This window comes from Homo sapiens, chromosome 11 (assembly GCF_000001405.40).
Source record: "Homo sapiens chromosome 11, GRCh38.p14 Primary Assembly".
NCBI classification, from domain to species: domain Eukaryota; kingdom Metazoa; phylum Chordata; class Mammalia; order Primates; family Hominidae; genus Homo; species Homo sapiens.
Genome location: NC_000011.10, coordinates 69,897,293 through 69,914,309, shown reverse-complemented (window position 1 = coordinate 69,914,309; position 17,017 = coordinate 69,897,293). Strand labels below are relative to the sequence as shown.

Genomic DNA, 17,017 nt, shown 5'->3' with positions numbered 1-17,017 from the left:
CCACCTATTTTAGCCTGAGACCCTGTGTTCCCAGTGAGAGCCTTGGGGCTGCAGGGCTGGGCCCAGCCTGGACGCTGCTCCCTGCTTCTGGCCAGGGAGAGCCTGATGGTCACAGAGAGGTGGGTCTCAGAGTTTCTACAGGGTGGACCCCCGGAGTGTGGGTGCCTTATCATCTCCTGTCCCCACAACCCCCTCCCTGGCAACGTCATGCTCCAAAGGGCTTATTTCCCATCGGTGGATCTGGCTTCAGATCCAAGGAGGAGCCTGGGGGAGCCCAGGCCTGGGTCCCAGCCACACCTGCCCCATCATGTTGGCCCATGTTCCCACTTAGGTGGGAGATCATAAAAACTAGGGTCCCTGGGGGTCAGCCCCAAAGAGTCCCATTTGGCAGGGGTGGGGTGGGGCAGGACTGTGGGGCCGTAAGGAGGAGGGACTCAGGGAGGCTCCTGCCTTCTCTGCCTAGCCCAGTACCTGGGCACTCAGGGGCGGTGGGCCGTCACCATCTGCCCAGTGAACCGATGATGCTACTGGCTATCCCACGGCCCCTGGGGAGTCCCTGCCCCAGAGATGGGGCTCTTGGGGGTCCTCGAGTCCCAAGTGGGAGTCTCGGGCAGCAGTTGGCCCACAATTCAGGCACTGCAACAGGGCCCGGGATCTGGGTTCCAGCCTGGCTCCTGGCAAGTGCCCCCCAGGTGCAGAACCTCTGGGACATAACAGAGATGTAAATAGACAACTAACAAGATAGCTGAGATTGTTTCTTTATCCAGACATTGGGGATAGGAAAGCCTGAGGTTTACCTCCTGGCAGGAAGCAAGAGGTTGGGGTGGAGTCCCAGGGACCTGCTGGGTTTCTTAGAGGGGTCCCTTTCTAGCCCCGAGATGCAGGATCTGGGATCTCACCCCGAAAGGTGTGACTTGGGGCTTCTGTGAGGGCAGGAGCAGGGCCCAGCTGGCAGCAAGATGGCCGGTGGCCCACCCGCTCCCTGCAGTCCCTTGAGCCCACCAGCCGAAGGGGCCACCCAGCAGGGCCCTGGAAGTTGTTATCACTAAGGGAAGGGAGCAGTCACCTCCTCCCAGAGCCCAAATTCAAAGTTTGTGAACCCAGGAGCTGCATCTGAATCAGGTCCTACCACGTGGTGCCTGGGAGTGTGCGCCCCATTGCATGGGCAGCAGATGGCAGTGTGCACCCCGTCTTCTCCTCACAAGCCCTGCCCGGAGGCCAGAGTCCTCCCGGGGGCCACCGGGTTGGTGAGAGCCACAGCGGGTCCCCTAATGCTGCAGCAGCCTCCTCTGGGATTGCCCCGGCCTCGGTTTCCATCATGGGAGGCAGGGAGCTGCTCTCCAGCACAGCACCCTCCTCGGCACAGCACTGCCCTGCTCTAGAGTCCACACCGGCTCCCCCGTGTGCCTTGGTGCCATCCGAGTCCCTCAACGCATAACTCCATTTAGAGACCACATCCGGTTCTCCCTCTGCTGCGTGACCCACTCGTGCACCGGCCTGGGCCCACGGCAGGGCTGTGGCTCGGCCTCTTTCACCTGCCCTGGGCTCACAGCTCTGGACAAACAGGAGATGCTTGATGGAGACAACCAGGGTGGACTTTAGGGTCTTGGGTCTGTGGCCCTGGAATGCCAGCTGGTTTTGGCTCTGGGCCAGGCCTGGGGTCAAGTCAGGTGGACACCAGGGCAAGTGATCCACGCCCCACCTGGGCCCTTGTTCCAGCCAGGGGATGGCTCGGTATGTGCTGCCTCTGCCGCATGTCCACGGAGCGGCTCTCATTCATCGGACATGTACTGAGCGCCAACTGTGTGCCAGGCATCCCTGAGGGTGACCAAGTGCAGGTTCCGTCCTCAGGAGACACTGCCCTACATGGCGTCCTAGCCAGGCCAGCTGGGCCAAGGCCAGGGGACTCAGGGCCAGTGCTGGGGCTGGGACGATGTGGCTCCACATAGTAGGGGATGAGGGGGAAGGGCCAGAGTGGGCCACTGTTAGGTGGGCAGCAGATGGCAATGTGCACACTGTGGCCCCAGCAGGGCCACAGCAGGGAGAGCAGATGTGAAGGTCGCTCCCCCGGCTGGGGTCCGCTGGTCTAACTGCCCACTGGGAGGTCCCACCTGTGTGTCCTCTGGAACCTGAGTTCTGTGTCTTCCCAAAGCGGAACCAGCACCCTCCCTCCAAACCCACTTCACCTTCTGGGCCACCTTCACCCAAGGCCCCCATTCCTTATGGAATATCCTGTTTGTTGTCATCGCCACACGTTTTACTTAATTATCTTGTTAGTTGTCTGTTTACATCTCTATCGCATCCCAGCAGAAGACACTGCCGGCCCCCGCTTCACTGGAGCCAGAAAACTGTGCCTCTCTGCCTGGCCTCCCCCTGCAGGAATGCCAGGTGGGGCATGGGACTCTTGTCCTGGGTCCACCCCCCTCGGCCCCTGGCCTGGCCCAGAGCCAAAACCAGCTGGCATTTCAGGGCCACATCCCCCAACACCCCCACCCTGGGCACTCAACCTCCTAAATCTAAATGCTCGCTTCCCACCATCCCCGCGCCCAGCCCCAGGTCCGGGTGCCAGCACCTCCACTGGAGCTCACGCTGGCCTCCCCATTGGCCTCCCTGGGGCCGATGCATCCTCCCACTGTGGTCAAAGTGAGTCCTGCGAGGCGCGGTGCCTGCAGCTCCCGAGTGAAACCCACCCTTCCTGCTTGGGCCCAGCACTCTGCTCTGCCCTGCTCTCTGGGGCCGCTGCAGCCTCCGCCACCTCCTGTCCCCCCACTTGGGAGGAGAGAATCAGGGATCTCCAGGCTGCCAGCTCTGCTTCAGTCAGGTGTGACCTTCTCTCCCGTCGGCCTCCTCAGTGCTGTCCAGCCGGTGGCGATGTCCCGTCCTTCTGGACCTGCTCCCTCTGGCTCCCCTCCCAGGCACCGTCTGCGGAAGGGGCTGTTTTCAGATTTGGGGAAAACCCCTCATGGCCCCGTGTGCCCTCGCTGCAGACACCCAGTACTGCCGAGCTCAGATCCAGGCGGACCTGCCCGGAGCCTGCGGGCTGGCTCACGCAGCACACGCTGCTTCTGACCTCTCAGGGGAAGGGAAGGAGTGGCCCCTGGTGGCTTCTGCTGGCCAGGGGGAAGGACAGACCTGGGAGGGAGGTTCAGGATCCCAAGTGAATGTGCATGGCACGTCAGCATTCCTGGCCGAGTGGTCTTGAGGTGTCCTGGGGAGGGGACTCATAAGGCCCTGTCCTCATCATGTCTGCTGCCCAAACGTCATTTTTAGGAGGTGCCTCCCACCCAAATCTTCCGTCCGGGAGAAGGAATGAGTGGCCTCCCCAAGCTCATGTCCCTTGACACCACGCAAGCCAGGGCTGGCAGAAGGATTGCAGGTGAGGGACTGTCCCTTTCTCTGCCAAGGTTGGGGGAGCTGCTCTCCTGACTGCCTCAGTGACAATGATTCTACTTCCCTTACCAGGAGGGATCAGAGAGGTAAAGGACCCTGTCAGGAGGGAGACAGTGGCAGAGAGGTAAAGGACCCGGTCGGGAGAAAGTGGCCTCTCCTGGGACTGGTCAAGACTCCCAGGGGTGGGGAAGGACCCAACCCTATGGAAGGTGTCTTTGCTGGAGTCCTGCTAGGATGGGCCTGTGGTTAGACACTGACCCCCACCCTCCGTCCCACCACAAGCTCCACTGGGCCAGGGCTTCTCAGTGACCGTCAGCACCCACACTGAGGATGTCTTGTGGGCCCATGTCTGGTGGACACCCAGCCCTCACTGTGTCACCGTAAGAGTCCTGAGCTTCAGCCTCCTTGTCAGTAAACGAGGGCACAGCACCCGCTCCACAGAGCTGGAGGGGAAGACGTGGGCCCGTGGGACTTCCTGGCAACATTGAGGGGCCTGTCCCGGGCCTCAGGAGCACTTGGGGATCCCCAGGACCCCTCGGCTGGGACTGCTGCTGAGGTCTCACCCCCACCTACTTATGATAGTCACAGCCCACCTTAAAATAGAAATTAAAGCCAGAGAGGGTGTCCCCTGGAGAGGGGTCGAGGTCCCCAGGGCCATGCGCCCTCTGCTGGCCATCATGTCATTGTGGAGACTTTCAGGCCCTTTGGGTGGGGGCCTGTTGCAGGGACCCCGGGGTGTGGGGAGTGGGCAAGAGGAGGGCGGCAGCCCCTAACAGAAGGGCCATGGCCCCTGGGGACCGAGCAGAAGCTCTTAGTTCAGGGCAGGCTGGGCCACCATGCCTGGCCACACTGTGTGAGTGGGAGGGCGAGAGGCTCCTGTGGGAGGGACTGTGGGGAGCCACGGCCTCATCCTGGGGCCAGGGGATGTGGGCGGGCACTGACTCTCCCGAAACCTCGGTGGATCTCCCTACAGGCTTCCAGACAGCCCTGGTTGGCTCCAGGAGGAGCCCAGATGTGGGGATCGACTCCAGCTCCCAGGGCCCTGGCTGCTCCGGGAAGTGTTTCCTCAGTGTTCACAGCCATGGCTGGCCAGGTCTTCCTGCCAGTCCTGGGTCCCGGCCCTGTCTGGCTGGAGGGAGAGCAGAACAGGCCACCTGCTGTGCACATCTGTGCGCTCCGTGTCCCTTCCAGGAAGCTGTGCACGCTGGCTCAGAGAAGGGGCCCGTGGTGGGTGGGCGCCTGCTGCTGGCTGAGCCGGCTGAGCACACGTGTGATGGGAGGGTCTGGAGGAGGTCCAGCCAGTCACCCCACAGCCCGCCTTTGGATGGGAGGCTGGGGTCACCCAGCAGCCGCCTCTCTGTTCCCAGACAAAACCTCTTTTAATATTCACCAAGCTCCTCTCCCCCATCTAGGTGCACTGCTGGACAACTGCACCCGGTCCCACTCTGTCACTGACCAGCAGCGTGACGTGGGCAGTGTCTTCATCTCTCGTGCCTCAGTTTCCTCCTCTGTTAGATGGGGGTAGTGCTGCTACCTCCCTCCCTCCTGGAAGGGCGCTGACAAGGGAGCTGAGGTTCAGGAATCTCTCATGGTGACCCAGAGAGGAGCTGGCGTCCAACAGCACGTGTGTCCACTTTTTGTGACACTTACCTGTGCCACTGCAGGTCAGGGGCTTGGCCCCGTGCACAGTAAGTGCTTACAGTTAGCATCATTATTCAGGGTGGACTATGAGTGCTCTGGAGCACTAATTTTGGGCCAGCCCCCGGCGGGGGCGCAGCCATGATTCCTTCCTTGCAACTTCCCCACCGTCTCCGGGGCTAGCCCTATTTTTCAGATGAATAAGTGGCCACCTGGGGAGATGAAGAGACCTGCCCAGGGCTGAGGGATTCCAAAGTCCAGGTCACCCTCGCCTCACCCTGGCACCAGCCTTGGCCACATCAGAGCTGACCAGCATGGTGGCGCTTGCAAGGTGCTGGTTTTCTATAGACCTCGGTTTCCTGCACCTGTAAAACATATTCACCTCACCCAGAGCTGGGTTAAGACTTCACAGACTCAAATTGCTGGGTGCACACCCCCCGTATGAGTTTCCCGTGATGTGTAACGAATGACCACGTGCTTGGTGGCTTAGAACAGAAATCCATTCCCTTGTAGCCTGGGAGCCAGAAGTCTGAGATCACGGTGTCGGCAGGGCCACGCTCCATCCAAGGGTTCTAGGGGAGGGACATTCCTGCCTCTTCCAGCTCCTGGGGCTACAGACGTTTCTTGGCCGTGGCTGAGATGCTCCAGCCTCTGCCTTCTCCTGTGCCCTGTCTCTGTGTCTCTTCTCCTGTTCGCCTATAAGGACACACATCATTGCATTTAGGGCCACCCTAATCCAGACGAATCTCAGCTAGGGATCCTCACCTTCATTACATCTGCAAGATCCTGATTCCAAACAAAGCCAGCTTCTGAGGTTCCAGGGGTTAAGAGGTGGATGTATCTTTTGGGGGATGTAGTTGAACCCACTATACCTCCCATACAAAATTCATGATAAAAATATTGTTACATGATAATGTCAGTTCCGGCTACATTGGTGTTTGTGTGTTTTATGAATTTTTTAAAAAACAACATTTTTTAATACTTCTCATGTTTTGGTGTCCGCCTCTGGGCTTACTGAGCGGCCCTGCAGATCACAGAGTGGGGATGAAGGTGAAACAAGAAAAGGTCTGTATGAGACACACCCCAGTGCCCCACATACGGTATGTGCTCAGCAGTGTTTTAAAGGAAAACCACCTCCCAGGAGCTCCTTGTCAGGGACAGGAGCCCTGAGGGGCATGAATGCTGGGCCCAACCTAAAGTTGAAGCTCTGTGGCCGCTCCCTGCCTCAGTTTCCCCACCCTGAAAGTGTGGTAAGAGTACCTTCTTGGTAGAAAGGATTCTGAGTCTAGGACATGTGAAATGCATAGAATGGTGCCTGGTCCCCCATGCAGGCTCGACGCTGTGTCCCCTCTGGGTTGCAGCCCCAGCATGGACGTCCATCCGCCAACCTGCTCTGGCCTCCATGGAGGCCCAGTGTGCAGCCGCTGGGCCCCACCTCCTTCTTTGCTGCCTCTAGTCTCTGAGCTCCAACTGTGGCCCGAGTGGCTGCAGGGGCCTCCTGCCTGCTTCCTCTGCTTCTGGCCCGCCCCTTCAGTCTACTCTACCCAGCGGTGAATTCATCTCTCAAGCAAGATGCTAGGCACGGCGTGGTGGCTCACACCTGTAATCCCAGCAGTTTGGGAGGCCGAGGTGGGTGAATCATCTGAGCTCAGGAGTTTGAAACCAACCTGGGCAACATGGCAAAAACCCGTCTTTACAAAAAGTGCAAAAAAATTAGCTGGGCATGGTGGTGTGCACCTGTGGTCTCAGCCACTCAGGAGGCTGAGGTGGGAGGAAGGCTTAGCCTGGGAGGTGGAGGTTGCAGTGAGCTGGGATTCCTCCACTGCACTCCAACTTGGGTGACAGAATGTTGTCACCTGTGTGAAAAAAAAAAAAAGCAAGATGCCTAGCCCATAAACCCATCCTGTTTTTCTTGGGCTCAGAATCCCCCAGGCTCCATCCCACTGGCTTCACAGCCAAAGACATACCATGACCAGTTACCTGCCCCTTCCACCTCCTCTCTGGACCTGGTACTGATCCCTCACCTTCTGTCCCTCTGGCCTCCTTGCCATTCTCTGCACACACCAGCTCCTGTCCCAGGGCCTTAGCTCATGCCGTGATTGTGTCTGGACCCCAGAATCTCCACATCTCACTCTCCCATCTCTTTTGGGTCTTGACTCAGTTGTCGCCTGCCTTGGAGAGGCCTTTCCTAGCCACACGATTGAAAATTGAGTTTCCACCTCCACCCCAGACGTGCCTGTCTCCATTCCCTACTGAACCTTCCTGCTTTGTGTCATCACCATACATTTTACTTATGTGTTAGGTTGGTGCGAAAATAATTGCAGTTTCTGCCATTAAAAGTAATGGCTGTTAAAAGTTTTTGCCATTAAAATGAATGGCAAAACAGTTTTGTCATTAAAAGTAATATCTTGTTTGTTGTCTGTTTAGATCTCTATTGTGTCCCCAGCACACATGCCTGGCACATAGTAGATGCTCAGCAAATATTTGTTGAATGAATGAATCTAATGGTTGCAGCCTGTTTCAAGGACTCTCCCCGCTTGGAAGATGAGAAAGCTGTGACTCAGAGAGGTGCAGTGACCTGCCTGTGGTCACAGGGCAGTAAGTGACAGGACAGGACAGGAGCCAGGCTCTTGGCCTTCAGCTCTGCTCCTTCTGGGAGGTCCTGAGGCCACAAATCCAGAAACTGACCCAGGCTCCCATTATAATCTGATTCTCAAAAGCAGACAGAGCAAACAGACCCCCGGGGGCCCTAGGGAGGAGGTGGAGGTCTTGGCAGCTCACAGGGGCCTGGAGTTAGAAACCGCTCTCCAGACCCCAGGGCTTAACCAGGCACCTGCCGGTTGCCTCACCCTACAAACATCCTGGGGGGAGGGGGAGGGGGAGGGACCAGGCTCCTAAGACCTTCTATGAACTGTGACACATGGGTTGGCCCATGCTGGCTGGCCATGGGACCCTCGACGCTGCCCCCTCCCCTCCTGTGGTTCCCCATGGCCATCCTGCCAGGCGAGGTGGCTGCAAACTTTCTGCTCATGTTACAGGTGAGGAAACTGAGGCTCAGAGGACAGTGGAGGCACAGTGTGAAGATCTGATTCCAGCCTCCCAGCTTCCAGTGCAGGACTTGGCCCACCCTCTCAGGCAGGACCTTAGAGACTGGGCTGGTGAGATCAAAGTGTGTCCGGTGTGGGGCAGATCAAATGGGCAAACAAAAGAAGGTGTGGGGGCCACCTGGGGTTTCCCTCCTGAAGGCTCCTCTTCTGATCACTTCTGGCAAAAGCCCCTTGAGACCACCACAGCCTCCACTCAGGCACCCACCCATGCAAGATACCCACAGCAGCTGCAGAGCCAGGGCTGGCATGGGACCAGCGCTTTAGGAGGAAGGAACCCTGTGCCCCCATGGCCAGGCACCTTCAGAGATCGCTCAGTGCTTCCCTAGAAGGAGCAAACTGCACTCATAAAAGCATAAACCAGTGACTGGCAATGAGAAGCTGTGGGAGATAAGGCGGCCCTGCAGGCCCAGATAAGCCCGCCGTAGCAGCCAGCCCCATTTCTACACGCGTGCTCCAGAACCAGGCCTGGGGTGGAGCAGAGGCCAGCTAGGCTTGCAAAAGATAAGAGGACAGACCCGAGGGCTTTCTGTGCCCACCACTCCCCTAGGGAACAGGGTTGTGGGACGCACAGCAGAAGGTGGTGGGATGGGGGCTGGATGGGGGAGGAGGACCCTTGAACACTGGTGACATTTGCAGTGCTTTCTCCAGGTGGAGGACTCAGCCCAGTGGGCTTTGTATGTATTTTTATTTGTTTTTTCTTGGTAGCCAGTGAAGAAATCACCTCAAACAGACTATGTGCATCTGGCTCACAGCTGAGTGAGTGGCTGGTCTCTGTTGTTCTGTGAGTCTGGTCTCTGCTGGCCTCACTCTGGGGCAGGCACCCTCTCCCCGTCACCCGGTAGGAAGCCTCTGGCTGCTCTAGGCCAGCATCTCCCACCTTTGAGTCCTGCAGAAGGAGAGCAAGTTGCCCCCACGTTTCTGCAAAAGCTCAGGGAGAGAGAGTTCCACACCTCAGGGTCAGGAATGCAGCCTGACCCAGGCCTGCCCAGAGGACACTGTGGGGATGGGGGAGGCCACACCATCCACTGGGACCTGGGGACACTGTGGAAATGGGGAGGCCACACCGTCCACCGGGATCTGGGGACACTGTGGAAATGGGGAGGCCACATCATCCACCAGGAACTGGGGACACTGTGGGGATGGGGGAGGCCACGCTGTCCACTGGGACCTGGGGACACTGTGGAAATGGGGAGGCCACACCATCCACCGGGACCTGGGGACACTGTGGAAATGGGGAGGCCACACCGTCCACCGGGACCTGGGGACACTGTGGAAATGGGGAGGCCACACTATCCACTGGGACTTGGGGACACTGGAAATGGGGAGGCCACACCATCCAGCAGGAAGTGGGGACACTGTGGGGATGGGGGAGGCCACACTGTCCACTGGGACCTGGGGACACTGTGGGAATTGGGGAGATCACACCGTCCACTGGAACCTGGGGACACTGTGTGGATGGGGGGGCCCATACTGCCCACCAGCACCTGGGGAGGGACAGTGGTCTCCATGAAAAATTGGGACGAGGTTGTGGGCAGCACCCTTGGATGCTGAGAGCAGACTCCAGCCAAAGCTACAAAGGTGAGAGATCCCCATGGAAGCCAGAGGCTGTGGGAGCAGCTTGGTGTGGGGAGCGGGGCTGATGTTGCTGCTCCACTGGGACCCCAAGCCCTGGGTTCTAGAGGGTTCTAGAGGGTGCTGGGTCAGTTCTTGCCAGGCAGCATGGGGCAAGGGTCGTGGCTCTGCCTGGTGTGGGTTATCACCCACCATGTCCCGTGTGCGCTTTGTGGTTTGACCATACATCCTGGGAGGAAGCTTCTCAAATCAATATGCCTAGGAAGATTGCCGGCTCCCAGCCCTAGAGATTCAGATGAGTGGGATGACGTGCGGTCCTGAGCTCACAGCCCCTGTGAGACTCTTTGCCTGGCTCTTGTCTTTATATTTTTTTTTCAAAGGTAGGGGGACAAGGCGAGAGGGAGTGAGGTGATTGGGGACGTGAAGTCCCCCAAAGGACAAGCCTGGCAATCACCACCAGTGACGAGTCCTAGGTCCTTTTTGTGTCCTGTGAGGTGGTTACTGTCCCCATTTTGCAGAGGAGGAAATTGAGGCTAGAGACTTGCCCCAGGCCCCTCATTAATACAGGGTGGAGCTGGGCTGCTCCCCAAGCTCCTCGGAATTCAGAGATCTGCTTCAGCATTAACTCTTTGTTATTTTGTTGTTGTTGTTGTTGTTGTTGTTTTGTTGTTGTTGTTGTTTTCTGAGACAGTGTCTCGCTCTGTCTCCCAGGCTGGAGTGCAGTGGTGCATCTCCACTCACTGCAAGCTCCGCCTCCTGGGTTCACGCCATTCTCCTGCCTCAGCCTCCCATGTAACTGGGACTACAGGCACCCATCACCATGCCCAGCTAATTTTTTTTGTATTTTTTAAGTAGAGACGGGGTTTCACGGTGTTAGCCAGGATGGTCTCGATCTCCTGGCCTCCTGATCCGCCCGCCTCAGCCTCCCAAAGTGCTGGGATTACAGGCGTGAGCCTCTGCGCCTGGCCGAGCATTAACTCTTGCACATTCTACTTCCTTGTCCATCAGAGGAAAAGAGAAAAAGAAGCCCCTTCCGGGGGCTGCCCACGGGTCACCTGGGCCTGACCTCCTGGGCTTCCCTGGAGGAGGCCTGAGGATATAGCATGTCTGGAGGCTGGGCTTTCTGGAGCAGCCGGACTGAGCCTGGAGCTGGCATGTGGCCTCCACATGTCCACATTCAAATTGTCATGGCCAACCGCCCTGGCAGTGAGCAGGGCCTCGAGGGGCCTCTGGGCTGCCAGTTCTGTTCCTAGGGTGAAGCCAGAGACCATGAAGGCCACCCCATCCAGACTCCCGTGCCCAGCCCTGGGGCTGGCGGCATTCCTCAGAGATGTGCTTAGTTGTCCTTAAGTAAAAGCAAACCATTCCTGTGTGGTTAGACGGAAGAAAATCACATGCTTCGGGAAGTGTGAAATTCTCCCTTCCTTGCACCTGAACCCCCGGACCACATTTCCAGAGACAAGGTCCTCCCTCCCTTCCTTTTTTCCTTCCTTCTTTCTGACAGACTCGCTCTGTTGCCCAGGCTGGAGTGCAGTGACATGATCTCAGCTCACTGCAACCTCTGCCTCCCAGGTTCAAGTGATTCTCGTGCCTCAGACTCCCGAGTAGCAGGGACGACAGGTGCACACCAGCATACACAGGTAATTTTTGGTATTTTTAGTAGAGACGGAGTTTCACTATGTTGGCCAGGCTGGTCTTCAACTCCTGGCCTCAAGTGATCTGCCCGCCTCAGCCTCTCAAGCTGTTGGGATTACAGGCGTGAGCCACCACAACTGGCCTGCTTTGTTCTTTTCTGAAGTAGTCAAAATTAAAAATATATTGTGAAAGACACCCCCTCCAACACACACCCTTTTCTGGCAGTGGAGGTAATCCAGGCATCTGTGACAGCTTCCAAGTCTGGGTTTCCTGGGGACGTGACCAACCGGTGACCTATTGACCACTGTCAAAATAGGGACACAAGCCATGGGGAAGTAGTTTCCCTTCACACCACTTCCTCAAGGGTCCATGTTCAGCGCTCTCACGGGTCCTCAAACACGCTCCAGGCACAGCCATCCCGGGGAGCACACAGCCAGGCCTGGCGCGCCCAGCTGTGCCCTCTCTCTGTCTTGCCTGACTTATCGAGAGATCTCTGGCTCTGCTCAGATAGATTTTGCTTGTTCTTTTTCATGGTTTCGTGAAAGTCTGTTCCATCAGTTGTCATAATTTGTCACATTCGTTGCTATTGTTTTTCTATCAACAACGTGGCAGCAGCACCCTTGAGCCTCTGCCTCTGCGCAGAGGTGGGAAGGTATTAGTGGGGTTAACTCCAAGACCATGAAGGCCAGCTCAGAGGGTGTGCTCATTTAAACACTGGTAGACACAGCTTCGTTGCCCTCTGAAAAGCTTGTCCCAGACGACTGTCCGGAGCAGCGATGGGGTGGGGGTGGGAGGAGTGTGACCTCAGGGTACACCAGGCCCATTGCCTCAAGAAGAACAAGCTGAAAACAATACACACGATGTGATGCTGTCTTATAAATGAAAAGAAAAGGCCGGGCGCGGTGGCTCATGCCTGGAATCCCAGCACTTTAGGAGGCTAAGCTGGGCGACCACCTGAGGTCAGGCATTCAAGACCAGCTTGGCCCTCATGGCAAAGCATGGCTGTCTCTACTAAAAATACAAAAAATTAGCCAGGTGTGGTGGCACATGCCTGTAATCCCAGCTACTTGGGAGGCTGAGGCAGGAGAATCGCTTGAACCCAGGAGACGGAGGTTGCAGTGAGCTGAGGTCATGCCACTGCACTCCAGCCTGGATGTTATGGCAAGACCTGGTCTCAAATAAAAAAAAAAAAAGAAAGAAAGAAAGCAAGAAAGAAAGAGAGAAAGAAAGAAACAAAGAAAGAGAAAGAAAGAAGGAAAGAAAGAAAAGAAAAGAAAAGAAAGAAAAGAAAGAAAGAAAGAAAGAAAGAAAGAAAGAAAGAGAAAGAAAGAAAGAAAGAAAGAAAGAACCTGACCCCCAAACAAGTCAGGTGCCAATAGCTATGTTTAAAGGAATGAAGCGCATTGCCTGGAATACACAGAGGGGATTTCCCTGGGAAGGGGGAGTGGATGAGAGTTGGGGGAAGGCGGAAGGAGCTTTAGCGTGATTAGTAATACCATTTTCTCTTCGTTTTTTTTTTCAGGGCAACATATTCTTATCTATTCATTCTATGGTTTCAAGATAATAAATACATATTTTAAAAGACTAAGGAAGTAAGTAAGCTATTAAAATATTAGCTTAAAAATGATTAATTCTGGGTGAGGAATATAGATGATTCCTACTTTTTGCCCCTCCCTCCCTCCCTCCCTTCCTTTTTTCCTTCCTTCTTTCTGACAGACTCTTGCTCTGTTGCCCAGGCTGGAGTGCAGTGACACGATCTCATCTCACTGCAACCTCTGCCTCTCAGGTTCAAGTGATTCTCGTGCCTCAGACTCCTGAGGAGCTGGGACGACAGGTGCACACCACCATACCCAGCTAATTTTTGGTATTTTTAGTACAGATGGAGTTTCACTGTGTTGGCCAGGCTGGTCTTCAACTCCTGGCCTCAAGTGATCTGCCTGCCTCAGCCTCTCAAATTGTTGGGATTACAGGCATGAGCCACCACAACTGGCCTGCTTTGTTCTTTTCTGAGGTAGTCAAAATTAAAAATATATTGTGAAAGACACCCCCTCCAACACACACCCTTTTCTGGCAGTGGAGGTAATCCAGGCATCTGTGACAGCTTCCAAGTCTGGGTTTCCTGGGGACGTGACCGGCAGGTGACCTATTGACCACTGTCAAAATAGGGACACCAGCCGTGGGGAAGCAGTTTCCTTGTAGTTTGGCCAAGAAATTTCTTGTTCCTATGACTCAGCAGCAGCTAGCAGGCACCCCAGTGGTGGCCGGGGCCATACACTGCTGGTCACTGACCCCGGCTGGCCAGCTGGGCACTCATTCTGCTTCCGCAGCCCTGGGGAGCTGGCCTGTAGTCTAATCCCAGCCCTCGGTGGTCACTCCAGCATTTGTGTTTGCCGTCTGGGTGCAGGATGGTAGGGGTGTGCTGGTGGCCGCAACTCAGGCAGGATAGCAAAGGTTGGTTGGGGTTAGACCAGGGCAAGGGGGCCTTTCAAACCTTCCCCTTCCTGGGGCTGGTCACATAGGTAATTTAAAAATTTCTACTAGCCACAATAAAAAAGTAAAAGGAAACAGGTGAACTTAATTTTAACCCTATATTTTGTTTAACCCAATAAACCCAATATATTAACATTTCAACATGAAATCGATATCTAAGTATTTGTGAGATATTGTCCATGTTTATTATTTTCTTTCTTTCCTTTTCTTTCTCTCTTTCTTTCTTCTTTCTTCCTTCTTTTCTTTTCTTCTTTCTCTTTCTTTCTTTCTCTCCCTCCCTCCCTTTCTCTTTCTTTCTTTCTTCCTTTCTCTTTCTTTCTTTTTCTTTCTTTCTCTCCCTCCCTCCCTTTCTCTTTCTTTCTTCCTTTCTCTTTCTTTCTTTCTTTTTCTTTCTTTCTCTCTCTCCCTCCCTCCTTTTCTCTTTCTTTCTTCCTTTCTCTTTCTTTCTTTTTCTTTCTCTTTCTTTTCTTTCTTTCTTTTCCTCCCTCCCTTTCTCTTTCTTCCTCTTTCTCTCTTTCTCGTTCTCTCCTTCTCTTTCTTTCTCTCTCTCTCTCTCTCTCTCTCTCTCTCTCTTTCTTTCTTTCTCATTCTTTCAACAGAGTCTCACTCTGTCACCCAGGCTGGAGTGCAGTGCTGTGATCTTGGTTCACTGCAACCTCTACCTCCCGGGTTCCAGTGATTCTCCTGCCTCAGCTTCCTAAGTAGCTGGGACTACAGGCATGTGCCACCACGCCAGGCTAATTTTTTGTATTTTTAAGTAGAGACAGGGTTTCGCCATGTTGGTCAAGCTGGTCTTGAACTCCTGGCCTCAAGTGATCCACCCGCCTCAGCCTGCCACAGTGTTGGTACTACAGGCGTGAGCCGCCATGCCCGGCCTTATTTTCATACAAAGTCTTCAAGATCCCATGTGCATGTTACACTCACAGCATGTCTTCAACTGGACTTGCCACAGTTCAAGCCACGTGGCCACAGATGGCCTGGGGCTGTCCTGGTGGAACTGCATCCACCGGCCAGTCTAGGCTATCATGGCCTTAGAGGTCATTAACACCTTTCAGAAAAGAGCAGTGGGAAATCAATATAGCAAAAAGATATCTAGGCCACTTCCCCTGCTCTCTCCTCGGCTGGAAGGCAGGCGAAGCTCTAATGTGTCAGCTCTGTAACCAGAATGGGGAGGGGGCCTCAGCCAGTGTCCACCCCCAGCAGAGTGAGCAGGCACTGCATAGCAGGTGCACAGTCAGGGGCCCCATGCCTGTAACATGGATGCATCTTTAGAATGCAGCCCTCGGGAATAAAGTCTGGAATTCAGCTACAGCATTGTACTGATGTTGGTCTCTTCATTTTCTAAATGTTTATATGGCTATGTAAGAGGTTAATATGGAGGCAAAGAGCACGTGGGGACTGTTAGCACTATCCTAGCAACTTTTTAATAATTCTACAGTCATTCCAAAGGTATAAGTTTATGTAAAAACAACACTCGATTGAAAGTGAAGAATGGATTGAAATCTATAACAAAGTCCTATTCACTTCAATTAAAAATATACAGACTGGGCACAGTGGCTCACGTCTGTAGTCCCAGCACCTTGAGAGGCCGAGGTGGCGGATCACCTGAGGTCAGGAGTTCAAGACCAGCCTGGCCAACATGGTGAAACCCCTTCTCTGCAAAAAATAGAAAAATTAGCCAGGCATGATGGCAGGTGCCTGTAATCCCAGATACTTGGGAGGCTGAGGCAGGAGAATCACTTGAACCCGGGAGGCAGAGGTTGCAGTGAGCTGAGAGTGTGTCATTGCACTCCAGCCTGGGTGACAGAGTGAGATTCTGTCCCCACCTCCCACCAAGAAAAAGAAAAAAAAAAAAAAAATATATATATATATATATATATATATATATATATTAGGGTGTTATCTTACCACTCAAATACCTCTGCAGAATTTGACCTTAGTTTTCAAATCAGACTCAAGAATGATCTTTTGTGTGTGTGTGTGTGTGTGTGTGAGTGTGTGTGTGTGTGAGAGAGACTTGGTCATGGACACAATAGCTTCTGGAAGACTTTTTCACGGAGAGTATGGGGGCTTCTTTGGCCAAATTGGGCAGGTGCAGGTTCCATCTGCTTGGCAGCTGCCACCTGGTCCACAGCATGTCTGCGGTGTCGTGCTCCTCTCCAGAGGTTTCTGCCACAGAATCTACTCCTTTGCTGAGCTCTGGCCCTGCGCTTTCCAAGAAAGGCCACAGGGACTGCCAGGATCCCACTCCCTCAGACCCTGCAAGTCATACAAAGCATGCCTTTTGAGCAAAGGAAATTAAAAGAAATTAATAAGAGAAAAACAACTGAAAAATCCCTACCAGATTTAGGACACAGATACACTTTTAGCTAATGCATGGGTCAGAGAAGAAATCATAAAGGAAATTAGAAAGTAGTTGAAACTGAACAAAAATGAAAAAAAGAACGGCATGCCAAAAATTGTGGGATGCCGTTTAAGCAGTATTTAGGGGGAAATCTAGATAACACTAATGGTCTATATTAGAAAAGAAGAAAGGTCTCCAATCAATGACCCAAGTTTCTACTTTGAGAAACTAGAAAAAAGAAAAGCAAATTAAATCGATAGTCGAGGTGTGTATGGACATAAATACAGACAAATACATCAATGAGCAGAATGGAGAGTCCAGAACCAGACTGAAACACTTGGAGAACTTATTTTAAACAATTGATGCTACCGCAGTTTGGTAGAGAAAGAATAGTCTTTTCAACAAACGGTGCTAGAACCATTGGATATCCATGTGCTAAAATGAAGCAAAGCAAAAAAACAAAAAGAAGCTAAATGCATACTTTGCATCACATACAGAGATTAACTCAAATGGATCATAGACCTAAATATAAAACCTACAACATAAAACTTCAAGAAGAAAATAAGAGAACATTTTTATGACTTTGGGTTAGGCAAATATGACTGCGCTATGGCACTGCCGTGACTTGAATGTGTCCCCTGAAGTTCATGTGCTGGAAACTAGATCCCAGTGCAGCAGTATTGGGAAGTGGGGCTTAATGGGAGGTGTTGGGGTCATGGGGTCACCACCCTCATTAATAGATTAATGCCAGTATCATGGCAGTGGGTTTGTTATCAGCAGGGTGTGTTCCTTATAAAGAATGAGTTTAGCCCCCTCTTGAGCTCTCTCTCTCTCCTTCCCC

At 53.9% G+C, this 17,017-nt stretch overlaps 2 annotated features.

The window, feature by feature from the left end:
* Positions 4,534-5,035: an enhancer, noted in NCBI's record as "H3K4me1 hESC enhancer chr11:69724011-69724512 (GRCh37/hg19 assembly coordinates)". NCBI's record gives its function as "activates a minimal SCP1, AML or CMV promoter by ChIP-STARR-seq in naive H9 embryonic stem cells {active_cell/tissue: H9 hESC(naive)}" and the evidence as "EXISTENCE:reporter gene assay evidence [ECO:0000049][PMID:30033119]".
* Positions 8,235-8,736: an enhancer, noted in NCBI's record as "H3K4me1 hESC enhancer chr11:69720311-69720812 (GRCh37/hg19 assembly coordinates)". NCBI's record gives its function as "activates a minimal SCP1, AML or CMV promoter by ChIP-STARR-seq in naive H9 embryonic stem cells {active_cell/tissue: H9 hESC(naive)}" and the evidence as "EXISTENCE:reporter gene assay evidence [ECO:0000049][PMID:30033119]".